The following is a 20,264-nucleotide window of genomic DNA, read 5'->3' on the forward strand; positions in this document are numbered from 1 at the left end:
CAGCCTGGAAAAAAAGAAAGGAAAAAAGAAGGAGTTGTCTTCTCCTCCCACCCATCTCTGCTTCTAAAACTGCCCATAGCTTGTCTCATTTGAAAACACTTCCTGGAGAATCATCCCTCAATTTTCATTAATTATGAATGTAACTTTCCTCTTACTAAATTCAACTTTCTTTTTTCCAGTTGCTGTAAAGTCTCATTCCTCAGAGCCATCCAGGGTGCTCTCCTGGGCACAGTCACCTCTGTCTGGAATGCCTTTCCCTACTTTTCTATCCTGCAAACTCCTGCAAATCCTTCAAGACCTACCCCTTTTCCATGAAGTCTTCCATGATTTCCCTGAACAGTGTTAATGGCACCATCTTCTGGGCTTTCTGAAACCCAGGCTGTGTATTAATATCTCCATGGGTTCTGACCACAGATCAGCAAACTGTGGCTCAAAGGCCAAATCCAACTCACCTCTCATTTGGCAAATAAAGTTTAATTGAAACAGAGCCAAGCCTATTCATTTACTTATTGACTATGGCTACCATCAGACTACAATACTGATAGAGACGATATGGCCCAAAAAGCCAAAAATATGTGCTATCTAGTCCTTTACATAAGTATTTTTGTGCACTGAGCCCTGCCCGAGACTGTGCTCCTCTCTGGGGCTAGGACAAGCAAGAGGGCCGCTTGCCCTCTGGAAGAAAGCTTGCTGAATTAATGATTGGATGAATGAGTGAGTGATGGAGAAGCCCATGTTTTCAATTCAATGCACAATTCACTGGGCCAGTGTTTCCAGAGGGCCCCGCGGAACTCTGCATGGACCACCGCATGCATCAGGGTTTCAGTGTATACTGTCCGCCCTCCACGCCCATGCATTCTGCATCTGCAGATTCAAAAATATCAAAAATCTTTGGGAAAAATCAATAAAAGCAATACAAAAATTAAAAATAATACAATTTTTAAAATACCACGTAATACTTTGAACGTAGCATTTGCATTGTATTAGGTATCATAAGTAATCTAGAGATGATTTAAAGCACTTGACAAGATGTGTGTAGGCTATGTGCAAATGCAAGCCATTTTACATCACAGATTTGAGCATCCTTGGATTTGGGGAACCAAAGCAGGTCCTGGAACCTATGTCCTGTGGATGCCCAGGGATGACCAAAAGAAGGTGTTACAGGCTTCAAGGCGTATGGGCAACCTGATATGCTGGACAGCGCCCTGCACCACATCTCAGCTCATCCTTTTGCTCCAGCAGTTGCAGGAGAAACCAGAAGGAGGTGCTGGCAGTGCCTCTGTGGCAATCCACGTGGCTTTCTCTGCTTTTGCCTCTGGGATACCCCGGATACCCAGGAAGCCACTCAGCCATCTGGTGCATATCCACCCTAGGAAGTGCAGGGGAGTTAAAATCCACAGCGACTCCAGTGGGCAATTCTGATGCATGTTCTACACGCTGCCCCAGAGGGTCTCCAGTCACCCACCATGGTCTCCCTCCACCCCTCTTCACCTTTCCTGAGGGTGCACTCCTGCTTCCCGGGAACATATCCCCCAAATTAACTATCTACACACAAGCCATTGTCTCAGGCTCTGCTTCGGCTCGGGGTATGGGATATCAGTCTCCAGCACCTGGGTTTAACCTGGTCTAAACCTTACGGCGGGACTTGTCAGCATCTTCTGTATCTTTAATACTCTGTCAATCTCCAGCAAGGACATCTGGTAAATCTGTTTCCTGGGGCTGCAGCAACAAAGTGCCACACGCCAGGTGGCTTACAACAGCAATTCATCCTCTCGCAGTTCTGGAGCCAAGAAGTCCAAGATCAAGGCGTCCACAGGTCCACGCTCCCTCTGAAAGCTCTAAGGGAGGGAGGCCCTCTCTGACACTTGTCAATCTCCCTCTCATTCCTCTTCTGACACCACTAATTGGATTTGTGCCCCCCCAATCCAGAATGATCTCATCTGCAGATCATTTATTTAATTACATTTGCAAAAACCTTATTTCCAAGAAAGGTCCTATTTATAAGTACCAGGAGTTGGGACTTCGAAATTCTTCTGGAGGAACACTAGTCTGCACAGGACGTTCAGTGAGTGGCATTTCTTACACTTCTTTGATGGTAAAACTTTTTTATCCACCAGAGTACCTCTCAGGACTGGTGCTCTTCAGGAAAATGTGTGTTCACCAGTATTCCCCAAGAGGACGAAGGCCACCTCTGTCCTGTCCAATGCTGCAGCCCAGGACCTGGCGTGGTACCTGTCATAGACACTGTGCCAGCAAGCAGGCTGGGAGCAAGCTGCCCAGACAGGGAGAAGCTGGGAGAGAAATCTCAGCACAGGAGCAAGAGGGACACCCAGGAGGCTCATCCATGGTCCCTTGAGAGCTCCTGGGCTGCCTATCTGGAGCTCCAGAGAGCGGGCTGGACTGAGAGCTGAGCCAGCCCCGGGCTGGCCTCCCCGCTTCCCTGCGGGCAGAGCCTCCTCCAGCCACAGCCTGGCTGCTGGCACCAGTGCCTTCCTGCCTCGGGGAATGCCTGGTTAGCCCTGACTGGGAATTCAATGGGGGCCTGCACCAAGCCCTCCACTCCATTAAGCTCCCCACTCCACCAAGCCCTCTACTCAACCAAGCCCTCCACTCCACTTCCTGAACACTCAGAGAGTCTGATGGGGACAAACCAGGTGCTCTGAGGCACCCTTGGCAGACAGGCATGAAGGATTAGAAACCTCTCCTAAGGTACACTCACACCTAGCCAGACACACCTCTCTGTGGGGCCAGACTGTTCTTGAAGCAGCCCTCTAGGGGCGCTTGCAGAGGGAGTGGGGCACTGTCCACACCTCTCCCAACCCGAGGAGCTCCCAATCCTTGCCTTCTGGGTAGGTATCAGCACAACTTCAACCTGTGGGAGGCCCCAGTTCTCCATTAACGCACTAGGACCACCTTCCAAAGGCCAGAAGCCAGTGCCGCTGGCACTTGGCTTGTGTTTCTCTTGAGGTTTGGAATGAAGCTGTCCATGAACTTTTAAAATGGCTGCTGGGCAGTGAGCCCCCAGGCTGCAGGTGCTGGGCCTTCTAGAGCTCCGAAACCTCCGCGTCAGGGGCCAACCCCTTCAGCAAGTTGCTTCTGCAGCAGTGAGTAACACACCTGCACACGGACCAGCTTCCTCCCAGGGCCCTTCCTATGGAGGCCACTCCAGAATCCCTTCTCCTCGTCTGACCCTCTGGACCCTGGACTTCCACTGCAGCCTCCCCCAATTTCTGTGGCCTCCAAAAAGCAAACCCTCCAAAGAGAGGTGCCCCCACTCTAACAATACACTGAGTTGGACAAGGCAGTGCTGGTGAGCCCAAGACCCTCCCCAGGGGGTGCGGTCCCTGCAGGGTCTCATTAGGTGTTAGTGGTGTCCCCGGGGAGGGTCTCACCCTCCCCTCGCCTCCTCCAGCCGCTGACCAGCACAGGGCCCCACATACAGGAGCTTAGAGCGGGTTTGCTGACTCATTGGAAGGCAACCAGCAGGTAGGGTTTCCAGGCTCTGCCTCAGGAGGCAGCCTGAGATGGACCTACCAGTCATCTTCATGGGCAGAGCAGAAGTGCAGAGGAAGCAGGCATTTGTATTTGATCAGGTTTTTATTCCTGGCTCAGCCTGCAAACAGTAAACATTTCATTGCTTGTCTCACAATTACATTAAAAGGTAGATAAACCCCTTCTAGCTTACATTTGGCATTTCAGCCTCTAATCCAACAAATCGCCCTTTATCCCCTCTTTCATACGCACGTGCGCACACAGTCGGGGCTCTGTGACCGGCAGGGAGCTCCCGCCTCCCATCTTCAGCAGAGCAGCCCGGCTCCCGGCTTCAGGGCCACACACAGCAGGGCCCCAGCTCTGGCCAGGCTCTTACTTGCAGGACTTCTCAGGACCTTCGTATCCTATAGCAGCTTTTCCTAAATGCCCTGGATTGTAAAAGGCCCAGCCCACATGAGTCAGTAAAGGAGGAGACAAGTAGGGCCCCATCTGCTGCAGCCAGGACCGGTGGCGCCCATTGTGTCATGTCTGTCCCACCCTCGTGAGCAGCAGAGCCAGAGCTGAGCACAGCCTGGGGTCGTGTCACCAGGTCCAGGTGCTCCCCAGGGAGGTCTGGGGCTGGGGAAAGCCCTGAGCCACTGTGGAGGGGAGGGGCCCGGGCTGGAAGCAGAACATCTTCTTTCTGAACCCGCTGGGGCCTGCAGCACTGTGTGAGCTCAACCCAGCTCTCAACTGCCTCTGGGCCTTCTCTCGCATCTCCAGGTACACAAGCACAGCATGGATCACATCTGGGGCCGCATCCAGCCACTTGATTCCTTGGGAAGCAACCCCACAGTCCTTCAAGCACACTCCCTGTTCCCAGGAGAAGCTGCACATGGTGAGGCCACCATAGCCTGCTGGTGGCAGCCTGTTGGCCCTGACCCATACCAGGCTGCCCGTGCCAGGCAGCCCATGCCAGCTCAGGGCTCCCTTCTCCCTGCCCTACAGCTCACAAACCCAGGCCTTGATTCTCTTCCCCTAAAGGCAAGGACCCTCTCTTCCCAGTGCCTCTCCCTCTGCCCTTCCTGTGTCTGGCCTTCCCCAGAATACCAGTTCAAAGCCAGGGAAATCTAGGCTCCTGTGGCCACATGTGCCAGAGGCGACATACGCCCAGCTTTGGGGGCCTATGTGCTCCAGGAACATGCATATCCAGGAAGGCAGTCAGCATCCACCTGCCCCACACTCCTCCCTTGATCTGGGGGTAACTTCCCTCTCCAAATGAGGGGTGCTTTTGGAGACTTCCCACCATCATCCCCAAAAGCCCTGTGACCTGAGCCAAACCAGTTAGGCTCCTTCCCTGAAACTTTTCCCACCGGAACTAGGGAAGAGAGGCCACCCATCACTCCTGAGGGGGTGGGGCAAGTAGCTCTCAGAGGTGGTATGCATTAAAGAGAGAGACACGGAGCAGGGTGGGGAACTGATCCCTGAGATAGCCCGATGCTTGGTCCCATTGTCCCTGGGGCTCAGTGGCCCTGGCCGGTGCACCCAAGCTTGCTTACATTGGGTTTGGCTGCTGCTGGGGAGCCCCAGTTGCTCCTGTGACCCACCCCCACCCTTCTGCTTCCACTCAGTGGCACAGTGCAGGGAGGACCCTGGGGTAGCGGTTGGGTGTCACTCCACCAGGAAACCCCGGTCACAGCTTGCCCCTCTTGGGCACAGTTTCCCATCTGTGGCATGATCATATTGCCTTGGGTGGTCTCAGTGGCTTTCCAAACTCAAAGGGTGGCGGCTCCTGGCTCAGGTGCTGAACCTGCCCTGCTGTGTGGCCACAAGGAAGTAGCTCGACCTCTCTGACGCTCTGCTTCCTCACCTAGGGACTTCGAATAATATCACCCCTCCCCTCACAGAGTCAGTAGGACACAATGAGCTGGGGGTTTTCACACGCCTAGCACAGTGCCTGGCACGTGGTGAGAGCTGGTTGTGGGAAGCCATCATCATCCCAGCACCTCAACTCCCACACACCTGAGCCTAAGACCCCCAGGAACACGCAGCACCCACTGGCTGGGGCCTCCTCCTTCCCCAGTAAAGAGCCACACCCTGAACTGGGGCTTCTGCCTCATAAGTGAATACCTATGACGATCCTGATGACCCCAGTAATGACGCATAAGCATCACACACACACACACACACACACACACACACACAATTCACATGCCTGTACATAGTCTCACACACAGTCTCACACATGCACACTCACACAAGTTCACACACATGCTTACAGATGCACATTCCCATACATCCACATGCATCCACATACATGTGCACACACATACACATAACGGGTACAATTCACACATCTGTACATGGTCTCACCATGCTCTCATAATTGACACATGCTCATATGCTCACACAGATGCCACTCACATACTTATACATGCTCACACATGTGTACAAATTCACATGTGCACACAATCACACAGTGCTGCCACACTCACACTGACGCGCACACACACTCATGCACAGGAAAACATATACACACGTGCCCTCTCAAGTGGGTGCAGGCACTGATCATCACATAGGTACACAGTCATGCACACATGCACATACCGAGTGTGTGCACACCCTCACTCACACATACACTCACGCACACCTCCCCCGGCCTCCTCTCCACCCACACTCACACATACACTCACACACACCTCCCCCGGCCTCGTCTCCACCCACACTCACACATACACTCGCACACACCTCCTCCGGCCTCGTCTCCACCCACACTCACACATACACTCACACACACCTCCCCCGGCCTCCTCTCCACCCACACTCACGCATACACTCACACACACCTCCCCCGGCCTCCTCTCCACCCACACTCACACACACCTCCCCCAGCCTCCTCTCCACCCACACTCACACATACACTCACACACACCTCCCCCGGCCTCATCTCCACCCACACTCACACATACACTCACACGCACCTTCCCCGGCCTCCTCTCCACCCACACTCACACATACACTCGCACACACCTCCCCCGGCCTCGTCTCCACCCACACTCACACATAAATTCTCACACACCTCCCCCGGCCTCGTCTCCACCCACACTCACACATACGCTCACACCCACCTGTCCCAGCCTCCTCTCCGCTCAGAACATATTAGCTGTCTTTTCAGCCCAATCAACCCACTTTTTAAGTCCCCAGCTGGAAGGGGATGGCCATGATCAGACTGAGACCTTACATGCCACGTCTCAGCCCTAGAGTTTTTATGGCCCAGTTTTAAACCTCTGATAATGGAGGTTTATGGTGCCAGTGCAGACACGGCCTGGGCAGGGGAACGGTGAGCGGGGCTGGAGTGGAGACAGGCAGTGTGCAGGGCGAGAGCGAGCGTGTCAGTCCCGCCAGCCCATGACTCACAGGACGTGCAGCATTAGGGGAATTATCAGCGTCAGCCCTGATGATTTCCTGGCCCTCGTGTAAAAACCATCATATATTTTCCTAATATCTGGTCTCAATTTCCTCTCCAATTAATGGTATTTCCAACCCATAATACACTGATTTGGCTTTCCACTTGTGCTCTCTGAAAGCACAAAAGGGTCCACAGACACCGACTTTCTCCATCACGGGGGGCTAGAGCTGCCCCCACCTTGCCTTTATTGTTTAAATCACCGCTTTATGAATCATCGATTTCTGATTCTTCCAGCTACCTGTGGAAGTGCTAGATGCACTAAGAAGATGGGAACAGGAAGGCTCAGTGTCCCCTTCTGAGGGGAAGGCAGGACTCCCTAATCCCCAGAGCACTGATTTGGTGCCCAAGAGCAGCCCACTGGCGCAAGGCAGGGCGCTAAGGTGATGATGTGGCTGAGAAGCATCTCCCCGGGCCCGTGTCATCAGAAGAGCCAGGCTATCACACTTCCTCTCTAGTGCAGGTACCAGAGGAAACTGTCTAACGCTGGGGCCAGAGCACCTAGGGACCAGCAGGGGACATAATTTATAGGAAGAAAGCCTGCTCTTCACTGCTGCAGAGCTACCCTGTTGGGTTAAGCATTGCCCTACTGGTTCTGCTTTTTAAAGTTCCAGAGAAGACCCAGGCTGACCGTTCTGGCACCTGGCTGAGGCTGAGTGCAGGGCAGGGTGGGTGGGTCCCTCGGCAGTGGGAGGACAGGACAGCAGGAGTAATGAGACTGCCTGCTCAGACGGCATCTGCCACTCACAGAGACTCAGCCTCCTGGCCCACAGGTGTTGGATCCAGCCCGTCACTGGAGCGATGGAGAAACTGAGGCCTGTGGGCCTGGGGTCAAGGCCAGAGTTGGCCACCACAGGGAGTGATCTGGCTAATCCAGGCCCCCCCAGCTGCCTTCTTCAGGGGTCACCCAATCCGCAGAGCTGTGGGCCAAGAGACACCTCCTCCAAGGAAGCCCTCCAGACCACCCTTTCAGCAAGCCCTGCTGTCATGGCCTGGCCTGGCCACGTCCTTCTAGACCAGGGGTCACAGACAAACTGAAGCAAGCCAGGTCCAGCCCAGGGAGGTGTCGTTTTTGTCATGTGTTTTATTTTTAATTTTTGGAATTCAGTTTTAGAATTAGATTTTTACACACACACTAGATTTTCATCGTCCCTTGAACCATTGGAGACCCATGTTCCTGCAGGAAGCAGGGAGACATCTGGCTGGAATGAGGTGGCAGCTGTGACCCTGACCCTCCCAACCCCCACCACATATATATATACACACACACACACACACACACACTCACACACAGCTCCTGGAATGTGACTTTTTATGCTGTGGAAATGCTCAACATGACCCTGTGCATGATTCTGAGCTCCAAGAGCAGACGTCGGTACTGCAAGCCCGCCCTGCCCTGCCAGCCTTGGTAAGGGACCCCCCAGCACTCAGAGGTGACCAGTCTTTGACCCCTGGCTCCAGGAGGAGACAGCTGGCCTGTTGCTCACCCTACTGCCAGGCTATTCTGGAGGTGGCACAGTGCCCAGCTTCCCACAGACCCATCCCTGGGGACCATGTTTCCTGAGACCCCTGCTCTCCCACCCAGAAGCCCAGAGCCCAGAAAAAGAATGAGGGCCACGAGGCCATGGAGAGATCCATGATCCATCTCCTTCCCTCCCTCCCTGACACTCAGCGTCCACTACACACTTCGGCTTTGCCTCGTGAATGCCTATGTGCAAACCAGGCAGGACACGGGCACGTGCTGCCAATCCAGGAGGTGGCATGACATTTCTCATGTGCCTAGGGAGACATGAACTGGGGAGAATGGGTCACAGATGTCCACCCAGAAAATCAGAGGCTCCACTCTACCTGGAACCCCAATCCTCCTCACTCCAGGCCCAGACCTCTGGCTCTTTGCAGGGACTACCTGTCACCTGAGAAATGTTTCTGAGAGAAGTGATGCCAGATATAAAAGTATATAAGTGTATGCATGTGTGTGTGTGTGTGCATGCATGTGTGTGTGTGTGTGTGTGTACTTTTCCTCAGAAGAGGGATAATTTGTTGGAAAGTACAGATTCAAAATAAAGTTCTAAATATATTAGCCAGTCAAAAATCCTGGTAGAAAGCATTTCCTTCCTTTCCTATGTATGGAGCATTTAGGTTTGGAGACATCTCAAACTCCAGCACCCTCGCAGAGGTCAGTCAAGTGGCAGAAATGACAGGAGAGGCAGATGCAGGGCAAGAGGGAGGAATGAGGTTTGTGTCCTCATGGGACTGCACTCATCAAGATAAAATCCCATGATGACACCCAGCCAGTCAGGGTGATGGTGACAGGCCGTTCATGTGGCATATGTTACCAGCACCCCCTGACATGGTTTAGCTGTGTCCCCATCCAAATCTCATTTTGAACTGTAACTCAACAATTCCCATGTGTCATGGGAGGAACCCGGTGGGAGGTGATTGAATTATGGTGGTGGGTCTTTCCTGTGCTGTTCTCGTGATAGTGAATGAGTCTCATGAGATCTGATGGTTTTAAAAAGGGGAGTTTCCCTTCACAAGCTCTCTTCTCTTGTCTGCCACCATGTGAGATGTGCCTTTCATCTTCCACCATGATTATGAGGTCTCCCCAGCCATGTGGAACTATAAGCCCAATAAACCTCTTTCTTTTGTAAATTGCCCAGTCTCGGGTATGTCTTTATCAGCAGCATGAAAACAGACTAATACTCCCCCTTACTTTATGAGAAATGTACCTACTCTGGAGGATGTAAACTCAGCATGTTCCTAGGAGAATGATTTGTGAGGATAACATCTTATGGTGATGGGAAAAGGCATTAAACAACTGTGCCACACAGCCTAGGGGAGCTGCCCAAACACAGAAGGGCCAATGCAGCTCCAGAGCCACCGGTCTGGGAGCCCTGGAATGGGCTTGATGTCCTGTTCCACTTTGCCCCAGGGACCTTGGCTAGACTCAAGTCACCTGATTCTGATTGCTGAACTCCATCCCCAGCCCCAACCAGGCAAGGCAGTGGGTCCTGAGGGGAAGTCAGAGCAAGCCAGGTTGGAAGAGGGCTATGCCAGACCCAAAGGAGGATGGGGGGCATGGCAGGCAGTAATTGTTGCAGTGTCTCAGAGGGGTCCTAATTGTGGCTTCCCAGAAAGCAGGCATACTTGTCAGGGAGCTGGGAGATGGCAGAGACTCAGCCATGGTTTAAAGCCAGAAGCCAGAGCAAGGGTGGAGGCAGGGCAACACTTCCACCGTCTCTTCCCACTTGGTGCTCACACCTGAGAAGCCAAGGACCAAGAAGAGTGCAGAGCTTGGGGCAGGCCCTGCCCTCCCTGCCTAGCCAGCACGTCCTCCTGGTCTCCCTGTGCACCTAACCACCCTCTATATGACCCATGGCCATCTGTCTCAATCTGTTCAGGCTATTATAACAAAATCCCATATACTGGGTGGCTTAAACAACACCTTTTTTTCTCACAGTTCTGGAGACTGGGAAGTCCAAGACCAAGGCAGAGTCGGTGTCTTGAGAGGGCCCTCTTGCTGATTCATAGATGGCCGTCTCCTCACTGTGTCCTCACATGGTAGAAGAGATGATGGAGCTCTCTGAGATCTCTTTTATAAGGCCACTAATCCCATTCATGAGAACTCCACACTCATGACCTGATCAAATACCCCATCTCCTAAAACAAATGCCCCACCTCCTAAAACCAAATGCCCCGCTTCCTAAAGCCATCACCTTAGGGGTTAGGATTTCAGCATATACATTTAGGGGGAGGGACAGAAGAATGTAGTCCACAGCCTCATGTAAGAGGGAGCAATCATGAGTCACTGTTCTGCCTAGAACCCTCCAACGTGCCCTTGAATCCTGGTGTTTGCAGCACTCCAGGCACCCCCTGCCCACGACAGGCACCCAGTGCAGCCTGGCTCTCCAAAACACCACTGGGCCCCTCTACCCACTCTCTGCAGCATCTGGGGACTGAGGATCAGCCCTCCCAAATCAGCCAAGAAGATGTCCTACCCTCCTGCCTGCCTTTCCCTATCACCCCAGCCTGCTCCCCAAGGGAATGCTTTGAAGCTTAAAAGGTACTCTCCTCTCTGCCTTTAAGAAGAGCTTTGAGGCCTGAGCTGCCACCAGAAGTTGCTGGCTTGGGTCTTGGGGCATTTGGGAAGCTGTGCCCCTCACTGTGCCTACCTCACTCTCAGCTCCAGCCACACTGGCCTCCTTGGAGTGCCTCTGAAAGGCCAGAATCCCTCCTGCCGAGAATCTTGGCACAACTTGTACTCCACAGCCCCCGATCCTCTTGCTTGCTCATGGTTCTCAGTCAGGGGATACTGGATGATGTCTGGAGGCATTCTTGTTGTCACACCTGGGGGAATACTATTGGCATCTAGAGTGTGGAGGCCAGGGATACTATAAACATCTTACAATGCAAGGGCAGCCCCCACAACAAAGAATCATTCAGCCCCAAAAGCCAGGAGTGCTGAAGCCAAGAAACCCTGTCCCAGGCCCACGTTCTCCAAGGCTGCCTTCTAGATCCCAGCAACAAGCCTGTCTGTCCCCACTCCACTTTGCAGCCCCACAACCAGCCACCCCATCTCACCTGGCCACCTGCACAGTGGGTGGACACTGAGGACTGGAGACACAGACAAAGCTTCACAAGGGAAGCTCAGCAGCTGCCCTGGAAAGGTCTGAAGTGGGACACAGTGGGAGGCAGTGACAGAGACCTGGAGGCAGAACCAGGCACCTCTGGACAGCTAGAAAGGGTCCTGGTGAGGGTGGGGAGGATTTGGGGAGCCTGACAAAGGTTCAGACACCCACACAGCCCTCCCCCGACATGCAACAGTGACAGCCGCCAGGGCAGAGAAGATGCTCAGAGAGAAGATGCTCAGAGAGGGAACAGAACACAGGCTTGGGCTCCCCCAAGATGCAGACCTGCTGCCTACCTCTGCCTTCCACCTGTTCTTTAACTCTCCAGGCAAAGGCTCAGCTCCCCAGGGAGCCTTCTGGCATAAAGAAATATATCCATTGAAGAAAAGAAAAAGGAGGAGGAAAGGAGGGAGCAAGAATGTCACCACCTCTAACCTACCATTTTCTACATGCTTTCATCTTTCTGCTTAATTCAGTGAGTGTTTGTGGAACATCTACTATAGGCAATTCTCTTTGCTAGGTGTTTTGGAGGGAGATGGCCATGAGAAGAGGAGAAATTAAGTCAGCTTCATGGTCAGAGACATTTCCTAAAGGAGATACTACATTGCTGTTGCTGCTGCTGCTGCTGCTGTTGTTTGTTGTTGTTGTTGTTGTTGTTGTTGTTGTTGTTGTTGTTGTTGTTGTTTAGATCAGGGGTCCCGAACCCCTGGGCCATGGACTGGTACCAGTCTGTGACCACCCGTGGCCTATTGGGAATTGGGCCACACAGTGAGTGAGCAAAGCATCATCTGTGTTTACAGCCATTCCCCATCGCTGGCATTACTGCCTGAGCTCCCCCTCCTGTCAGATTAGTGGTGGCATTAGATGCTCATAACAGCGTGAGCCCTATTGTGAACTGCACACACGAGGGATCTAGGTTGCACACTCTTTATGAAAATCTAATGCCTGATGATCTGCCACTGTCTCCCATCACCCCAAGATGGGACCGTCTAGTTGCAGGAAAACAAGCTCAGGGCTCCCACTGATTCTACATGATGGTAAATTGTGTAATTATTTCATTATATGTTGCAAAGTAATAATAACAGAAATAAAGTGCACAATAAATGTAATGCACTTGAATCATCCCCAAACCATCCCCCTCCCCTGGTCTGTGGAAAAACTGTCTTCCATGAAACCGGTCCCCAGTGCCAAATAGATTAGGGACCACTGGTGTAGATTATCTCTGTGTCTTACACTGTTCTAAGTGCATCACATTTGTTAACTCATTCTATCCTTTCAACAACCCTAATAGTGGGTACTACTATTATTCTCATTTTACACATAAGAAAACAGAAGCACAGAGAAGGTAAGTGACTTTCCCAAGGTCACGCAGCTGTTGAGTGGTGGAACCTGGATTTGGACTGAGGCACTCTGTCTGGTTCCAGAGCCCAGGCCCCTCCCACCATGCCCTGCTGACCCTTAGAATCTGGCATTTGAGCTTTATCTTGAAGGATGGTTAGGATTGTACAGATGGAGCCCAGTTTGCCAGAGAGAGAAAGAGAGTGAGAATGCAGAGAGCAGAGCCGGTGTAGGTAAGGGTTTCCAGATGGGAAAGTGAACTGTGGTTACACCAGAGGCGGAGGCAGAGGACTGAGCTCTCTTGGGGAGTAGCGAAGACCTGTCCTGCTTGCGCTGTCGGTAATGAGGCTCTCTGGGCTCAGGGCTGATTATAAACTCTACATACAAGACCCCATTCTCCCATCCCTGGTTTACCAGTGGTTCCTGCCACCAGTAACGGTCACACGGTCACAGCAGTGACACATTACATGCAAGTGCTCTGCCCAGTTCCTCCCCTGAATCCTCACAACAGCTCAGCCATGTGGGTGCTGTACAAGCAAGGAAACTGAGGCTCAGGCAGGAAGAAACATGTCCCCATCACACAGCTAGTGCAACGCTTGGCCAGGGCACTTGCCTTGTCCTCCCAGGTTGCAGAGCCTGGTGCTCCCAAGTTTGCTGCTGAACCTTCCTCTATCCTCCCCACCACCAAGGTCTCCCCTCTCCTCACTCCTTCCCCCCAACCGCCCCCTGCCTGTGCCCACTCCACCCCCCAGAGCACACGCAGCCTGGCGACTGCTCACACAGCCTCTCACAGGCTTAATAGCTCCAGCCTGTAGAAATGGAACAAACTGATGGCCATGTGCATCACTTTTATGTGCTTATAAGAGAGTCATAATTAATTTCCCAAATGCACACAGGACTCAGGGGATAGACAGAATGCTATTCACAGATTGCACGATCGTTTGACAGTTTTAGGCAAATGAGGAGCGAGTATTATTTGCTTTTCTAACGACTGCCTGGTGCATTTTGGTCTTGATGATGGCATTTCCAAAGCAATTTCAGAAACAGATTAGAGAAGTAACATTTTTAATCTTTAGCAAAAACCTAAGATGTGAGGGAGATTGTAATGTCTGTTTTTTCAGCACGATGTTTTCTAGCGTTAGGGCAAAATGTAGCACAAAATGAAACAACATCACTTACTGTGTAAACAGTTACATTATCTCCAATTACTCTTCAGCTATGCACTACCCCACCCCTCTCAAAAGAACAAAAAAGAGAGCCCCCTTATTTCCCTGTTCCAGGGGCCTGAATCATCACTGCAGCTGCCCTGAAGACCATAACCCACCAGGAACAGGGAAAACCCCCTACCCGACTCTCGCCGCCTGAATTCCACTGTTAGAATGCACTTCTCCAGCAATGCAAATCCTCCAGGAACAGTGGTCACTTTCCTGCAAAAAATACCAGCACTTAACTTGGTGGAAAAGGAGGAAGAATCCAGAAAACAGCCTGAAAGTACAGAAAGGGGACACAGTATTAGCATCATGGGAGGGAAGGACGGGCAACGTGGCGCAGGGGTAGCAGGTGCAGGAATGACAGTTATCGGGCTGAGGGTGGGCAGAGCAGTAGGAGAGGGGAAGGTGGGAGGTCAGTGCCACCTCCGACACTGCTGGGCTGCGCTCACTCCCTCCCTTGGCATTCCCCATCCAGCCAACAGCAGCACCTGCATCTCCACCAAAGGGCAGTCTCTGGTCACAGGGACACACTAGGTCAGCGGCCTGAGCACAACACAGCAATGGGGCGCTGGAGTGCACATCTCCAGGAGCAGCCCTCAGCACGTGATGAGTGGGAGCTGGAGGACAACACACAGCTTCCTGGCCCTGCAGGTGGAAACACTCCCCAGTGTGTGCCACCCCATCTCCCGGGCTGCCCAGGGGCTGAGCCTCAGTGGCCTCAGTGGTGTCAATGGCCCACGGCAGTAACCTGCTTATCGGCTTCTTTCCCTTCTCTGTCTCACTTCTCGTCTCCTCTCCCTATGCTTCCTGGAATCAGCTCCCAAGCCAACTCCCTGCACCGAAAGTTTCATCCTGGGGTGGAGGGCAGCTTCAGCAGAAGACAGCCCCTCTCACTGGCCCATCTTGGGTCACATGCCATCCCTAGGCCAAATGCCATGTCCAGAGAGGTAGAGCATGGATAGGCCAGACCTGGGCCCCATGCCTGCCCTGGACCAAGGGATGGGGTCAGACCCACCCGAAACACACAGATGAGTGGAGGAGGGGAGTTCCCGGGGAAAGGTCAGGGCCTGTTCCCAGAAGAGAGAATTCTATGGCCAGCAGGCTGAGCAGATGTCGACAGCGGCCCGCCATGAGAGGGTCCACACGGGTCAGCGAAGCACCGTCTTGGAGGGCATTCGGGTGGAATTCTAGCAGAGGCTGCACTAAGTCAGTGGTTCAGGGCACCAGAAGTGAGTGAGCTGGGAGTGAATGCCTGTCCCCCGCCGCCCGCCGTCAGGGGTTACTTGGTGCTGGGGCTGAGGGGCAGAGCCACGGGAAGTCCACCCCACTATCCCACAGCACAACTGGCTCTGCCTCAGGAGGCTGGGTGGCTTCCTCGCCCCACCCAAGCTTCCATCCAGGCTTAGAGATCCATGGTAGGGGGCTTGCTACACCCCAACTTCCGGCTCAGTGTTTCTGTATCCCAGGCTGGAATGAGGGAGCCCACGGAGATGGAGAGTGAGCTCCCTGAGGGATGATGGTGGCATCTTTCTCCAAGGGTCCCACATCATCTGATATAGGACAGAACCCGCAGGGTCTCAGAGATGCCATTGTTTATATAACTTGACCCTCCCAGATGCCAGGAGCCCTGGGGAAGCCTTTCCCAAAACGTATGCCTCGGAGCTCCTAGTTTGACAAACTGGTATGTCCTGATATGGTGTGAGTGTGTGTCCCCTCCAAATCTCATGTTGAAATGTGGCCTCCAGTGTTGCAGGTGAGGCCTGGTGGGAGGCGCTTGGGTCATGGGGCAGATCTCTTATGAATGGCTTGGGCCAACCCCTCAGTGATGAGTGAGCTGTCGCTCTGAGTTCACATGAGATCTGGTTGTTTAAAGCGTGTGGCATCTCCCCTTGCTCTCTCTGGCTCCCTCTCTCACCATGAGAGACTCCTGCTCCCCCTCCACCTCCCGCCATGAGTAAAAGCTTCCTGAGGCCTCACCAGAAGTCAGATGCTGGCACCATCCTTCTCGTCCAGCCTGCGGAACTGCGAGCCAAATAAACCTCTTTTCTTTATAAACTGCCCAGTCTCAGGTGTTCCTTTATAGCAACACAAGACAACACAAGAATGGCTGAATACAGTTCCCATACAGGGCTGGGTTGGGCAAAAGGGGATGGTGTGATTCTCCCATTAAGAAAAAGTGGGACAGGGTGGATTGAATCAAGTTGAACAGGTGTCTATGGCAGGGCCTCTCAGGGTCTTCATTGCATGATATTGCTATGACTTGCCAGAAAGAGCCATCACATGCGGCGTTTCCCAGACTTTGCTCAGAAAGTCTCAGAAGTGTGGGTCAAGGATCCTCATGTCGGAAAATGCTAAACCAGCAAGGCCAGTGCCCATTCCCTAGGAGCAGCCAGGCCACAGGTCCCATTCCAGACACTCTGCCAAACAGCCCCACCTAGGTTCCTCACACACACCTGCCACCACCCACCCCCAAATCTAACATGAAGTACAACCAAGCTAAGCCAGCAAAGTCCAGTGCAGCTTGTTAAGCCACTCCAGGCTAGACACAGCAAAGCCTCGTGTTGTCATTGTGCTGAATAGGTCTTCAGACTTTCCAGTATACAGTGTGACAATAATGAAGAGACTTCTGTGGCTGAGTGTGGGGTCCTCATAACCCTGAATGCATTTTCATGTCAGTGATGGTCAGTGGTAAACATCTCCTGCCATTAGCTGGATGAGACACCTTATTACAAAAATTGCAGCAGAATCTTCATTGTTTTCTATTTCCACTATTACAAAATTCATTTTAAGAGATGTTTGTCTTTCTTTTTGCTTTTTGATGTGCAGCACAGTTGTCTAATAGCTCATCTCATCTCTGATAAGACGTCATCCTCACGTAATCATTCTTCCAGGATCCTGCTGGTTTTACATCCTCTTACAGTAGGTACATTTCTCGCAAATTAAGTGCCGGTAATATATGTCTACCTGTCTAGTGGTGTCACCATAAACAGCCTGTAACCGTCGCCCCAACACTCCCCAGGGACACACTAAACTGACTGTATGTCACCATGGTGTTTTGTCTTGATGAGTACACATTTTAAAAGTCCATGTCCTAGCAAGAAGAGGACTAAACATAGAGACTTTCCCCCTCGAGGCAACATACCCTGTGAAAATCTGCTCAGCGATGTTTGAATATCTCATTGAGGCTCCCACATTTGCAGCTCAAGGCTAGATGCTGCTTTACCTCTTCTGAATCAGATGGAAGAGGCTGAGTTTGGTCCCTTTGGAACCCAAGTGAAGATAATCACTCAGCCCTGCAAATAAGCAGAGAATTTACCAGCCCACAGCCATGTTCACCAGCCTGCTTCCGTCACTCATGCGTACAAGATACTTTGCCATTTGAACAACTCTTTTGTATCTAGTATTTAATTTTATCCTCATCATGGGTCTGTGGTATAGAGGAGAAAACCCACATTCAGGGACGGGTAAGTTTTGCTCAAGGGCGTGAGGTGCAAGCAGCAGTAGGAGAGACAGAATTCTCGGGCAGTGTTCTTCCACTTCCTCTCCACTTCCTCACGTGTCCTTGATGAAAAATCAAGCTGGGCTCTGGGACGGGTGAGACAGAGTTGGGTCTGCGGGAGGACTTTCCCAGCAGTGAGTGGGGCCTAGGGGCTTGGAGGCAGCCACATCACGATGTGGATCCAGACAGGGGCGCCCCCTCTCTCCCCTCACACCTCTCTCCCTCTCTCTCTCTTTCTGTCTCTCTGTCTGTGTGTGTGCACACGCACATGCATGCACGCGTGCATGTGTGTCTGTCTCCTAAATTGCTAAATCGTCTTTCTCTGCTTTTCCAAATCTCCCATCTGATTATCCCTCTTTTCTTCTCCCAACCTCTCCCTAGGAGCCAAATGAAGGTGACAGTAAGCTCAAGCCCAGCCTGTCCTGGCCTAGCCTGAGGGCCTCTGCTAAGGTGGACCCCAACCAGCTCCAGCCCAGTGACCCCAAGGAAGACTCTACCTGCCCAGCCAAACCTAGGCCACCAGTCACCCCACCCAGGCCAGCTCAGTACCGCCTCCACAAAGCTCCCGTGATGCCCTCTCCAGGGCAGTGGCACCTCCTTCCAGTCCTCTCTGCCTCTGTTTCCCACCCACCCCCCTACATCCCCCTCTGACCTGGGCACTCCATGGGACAGCTTGCATGTCACTCCCCTCTCACAGAGCTGGGTGCAGAGAAGAACATGGTGGGCGCCTTTGCTGAGCAAGAACAATGGGTTGCACCGTGCAGCCTCACCCACCTCACCCACATCCCCAGCCCCAGGTGCCACGGTAGGGACTGAAGCGTTGACAGCCTTACCACCAGGCACAGCCAGCTCCCAGCCAGGCACAGTCCCTGCCCCAGAATCCATGGAGGGCAGCTCCCTTCCCATGCCCCTCCTATCATTCCAGGACGTTAAAAGGCACAGGTGACTCTGAGCCCTGCTTCCTGCTGTGTGCTGCAAATCAGTTGATCCAGGAGGCTTGTCATGCCCCCATCCCTCTCTCCAAAGAGAAAAGAAACCTCTCTGCCCTGGGGGCAGCCAGATACCTCTACAAGGCCCAGACAAGGGGAGCTGAGGTCAGGCTCAAACACCTGGGGCCTGCAGCATATCATGAACTGCACAGCGTCTGCCCACTCTAGGCCCTCTCCATCGGCACACGATTCAGACCCAGAGCTGGTGGCACATGTGCCCCCCGACCCATCTGCAAGGGCTGCTCCAAGTCCTGCAGACCATTTAGCCACACCTCAGCCAGTTTCTCAAAATCCTTCTGGGCATAGCGGGGGCTCAGCACTCTCTGCAGGGCACAGACCCACCCAGAGCCAGTCCTTCCTGAACCCGGGCTGACGGCCCTCTGCCTCCACCACCCCAATCGCAGGGCTCTGCCATGCTTGCTTTCTGGCCTGCAGAATTCCCAGTTCCAGCAGCAGGGGCTCCTTCTCCCTCTCCCCAGTTTGGGAGACCCCAGAGTAAGGAAGGAGGTCTTACGGTCTGGCCCATGCCACTCCCAGCAGTCACGTTGTTTAGGGTGTCAAGGATCCTGGTTGGCTTTGAAGCCAGGCAAACCTGAGTGTGAATTCTCCCTTTCAGCTACATGACCTTGGGCAAGCCCTCTCCCCATGAATCTCAGTCACCCCATCTGTAAAATGGTCAGAGTATCTACTTCCTGACCTCGCTAGAAATCGAGGTACCACTGGCAAGTGTCAGGCCCACAGGAGGGGCTCACAAGGGCCAGCTCCCTGTCCAGCCTCCTCAAAGCAGCCTCTTTCTCCTTCTCCAGGGTCAGGGCCACTGCCCTGAGTGTGGACCTGCTCTTGTCCTTGCAGCTCAGCCCTTGTACCACCCAACCCCAAGCCATGCTCAGTGCTGGGTGATGTAATTGTCCTGGAGGAGGGGCACTGATCCAGCCACGCACTCACCCCCATCTGAGCCACGTTAGAAGCACTGCCCATAGGGGTCCTTAAAGAAGTGACCTAGAGTCTCTAATTAGCACCAAACTCCCATTTTCACCCTAATGAGCTTCCAGCACCACACCAACCCACCACATTGCAGTGTGAGAGGAGACCTTTGGATGCTGTCGGTCCAAGCCCTTTCCCCATGCCCGGGCTGCTTTTCTGGCTTCATCACTAGCCCAGCCCCTGCCCTAAGCCCGTCCTCTGCCATACCAGGCTCCCTGTCATGTGCTGTGCTGCTCCTCACCTTCACACCTGTGATTGTGCTGAGCCCTGTGTGTAGAATGCCCTTCCCTTCCCTCGCCCCCTGGTGAGTCCTCGTCACTCCTTTTCATCCTGTCCAATAGGGAGCCATAAGTCACATGTGATGAGTGAGCAGTTGAAACGTGGCCAATACAAATTAAGGCTTGCTGTTTATGTAGAACGTCCATCAGACTTCAAAGGCTGAAGACAGAACAAAGAATGTGAACTATCTCATTCATAAATGTTTTGCAAGCCGGGCACGGTGGCTCACACCTGTAGTCCCAGCACTTGGGAGGCAGAGGTGGGCGACTCAGCCAAGGTCAAGAGTTCAAGACCAGCCTTGCCAACATAGTGAAACCCTATCTCTACTAAAAATACAAAAATTAGCCCGGTATGGTGGTGCGTGCCTGTAATCCCAGCTACTCGGGAGGCTGAGGCACA

The 20,264-nt window shown here is 52.9% G+C and overlaps 1 long non-coding RNA gene across 1 annotated transcript in view, besides 4 other annotated features; it reads right to left on the reverse strand.

Moving 5' to 3' along the window:
- Positions 1–20,264, reverse strand: part of VSTM2B-DT (VSTM2B divergent transcript) — a 238,742-nt gene that overhangs the window by 127,472 nt on the left and 91,006 nt on the right. The window contains exon 2 of the long non-coding RNA NR_040029.2: positions 14,251–14,330. This is a non-coding gene — a long non-coding RNA (VSTM2B divergent transcript). The remainder of the gene's footprint in view (positions 1–14,250; positions 14,331–20,264) is intronic.
- Positions 1,082–1,376: a silencer, noted in NCBI's record as "tiled region #9443; HepG2 Repressive non-DNase unmatched - State 13:Ctcf, and K562 Repressive non-DNase unmatched - State 13:Ctcf". NCBI's record gives its function as "represses a minimal TATA promoter and a strong SV40 promoter by Sharpr-MPRA in HepG2 and K562 cells {active_cell/tissue: HepG2 | K562}" and the evidence as "EXISTENCE:reporter gene assay evidence [ECO:0000049][PMID:27701403]".
- Positions 2,687–3,420: an enhancer, noted in NCBI's record as "H3K4me1 hESC enhancer chr19:29908074-29908807 (GRCh37/hg19 assembly coordinates)". NCBI's record gives its function as "activates a minimal SCP1, AML or CMV promoter by ChIP-STARR-seq in primed H9 embryonic stem cells {active_cell/tissue: H9 hESC(primed)}" and the evidence as "EXISTENCE:reporter gene assay evidence [ECO:0000049][PMID:30033119]".
- Positions 4,887–5,618: an enhancer, noted in NCBI's record as "H3K4me1 hESC enhancer chr19:29910274-29911005 (GRCh37/hg19 assembly coordinates)". NCBI's record gives its function as "activates a minimal SCP1, AML or CMV promoter by ChIP-STARR-seq in primed H9 embryonic stem cells {active_cell/tissue: H9 hESC(primed)}" and the evidence as "EXISTENCE:reporter gene assay evidence [ECO:0000049][PMID:30033119]".
- Positions 15,598–15,767: an enhancer, noted in NCBI's record as "experimental_50884 CRE fragment used in MPRA reporter constructs". NCBI's record gives its function as "activates a minimal promoter by MPRAs in K562 erythroleukemia cells, with activity observed for both the introgressed and non-introgressed 19:29921070 variant alleles {active_cell/tissue: K562}" and the evidence as "EXISTENCE:reporter gene assay evidence [ECO:0000049][PMID:34662402]".

This window comes from Homo sapiens, chromosome 19 (assembly GCF_000001405.40).
Source record: "Homo sapiens chromosome 19, GRCh38.p14 Primary Assembly".
In the NCBI taxonomy this organism is placed as follows: Eukaryota; Metazoa; Chordata; class Mammalia; order Primates; family Hominidae; genus Homo; species Homo sapiens.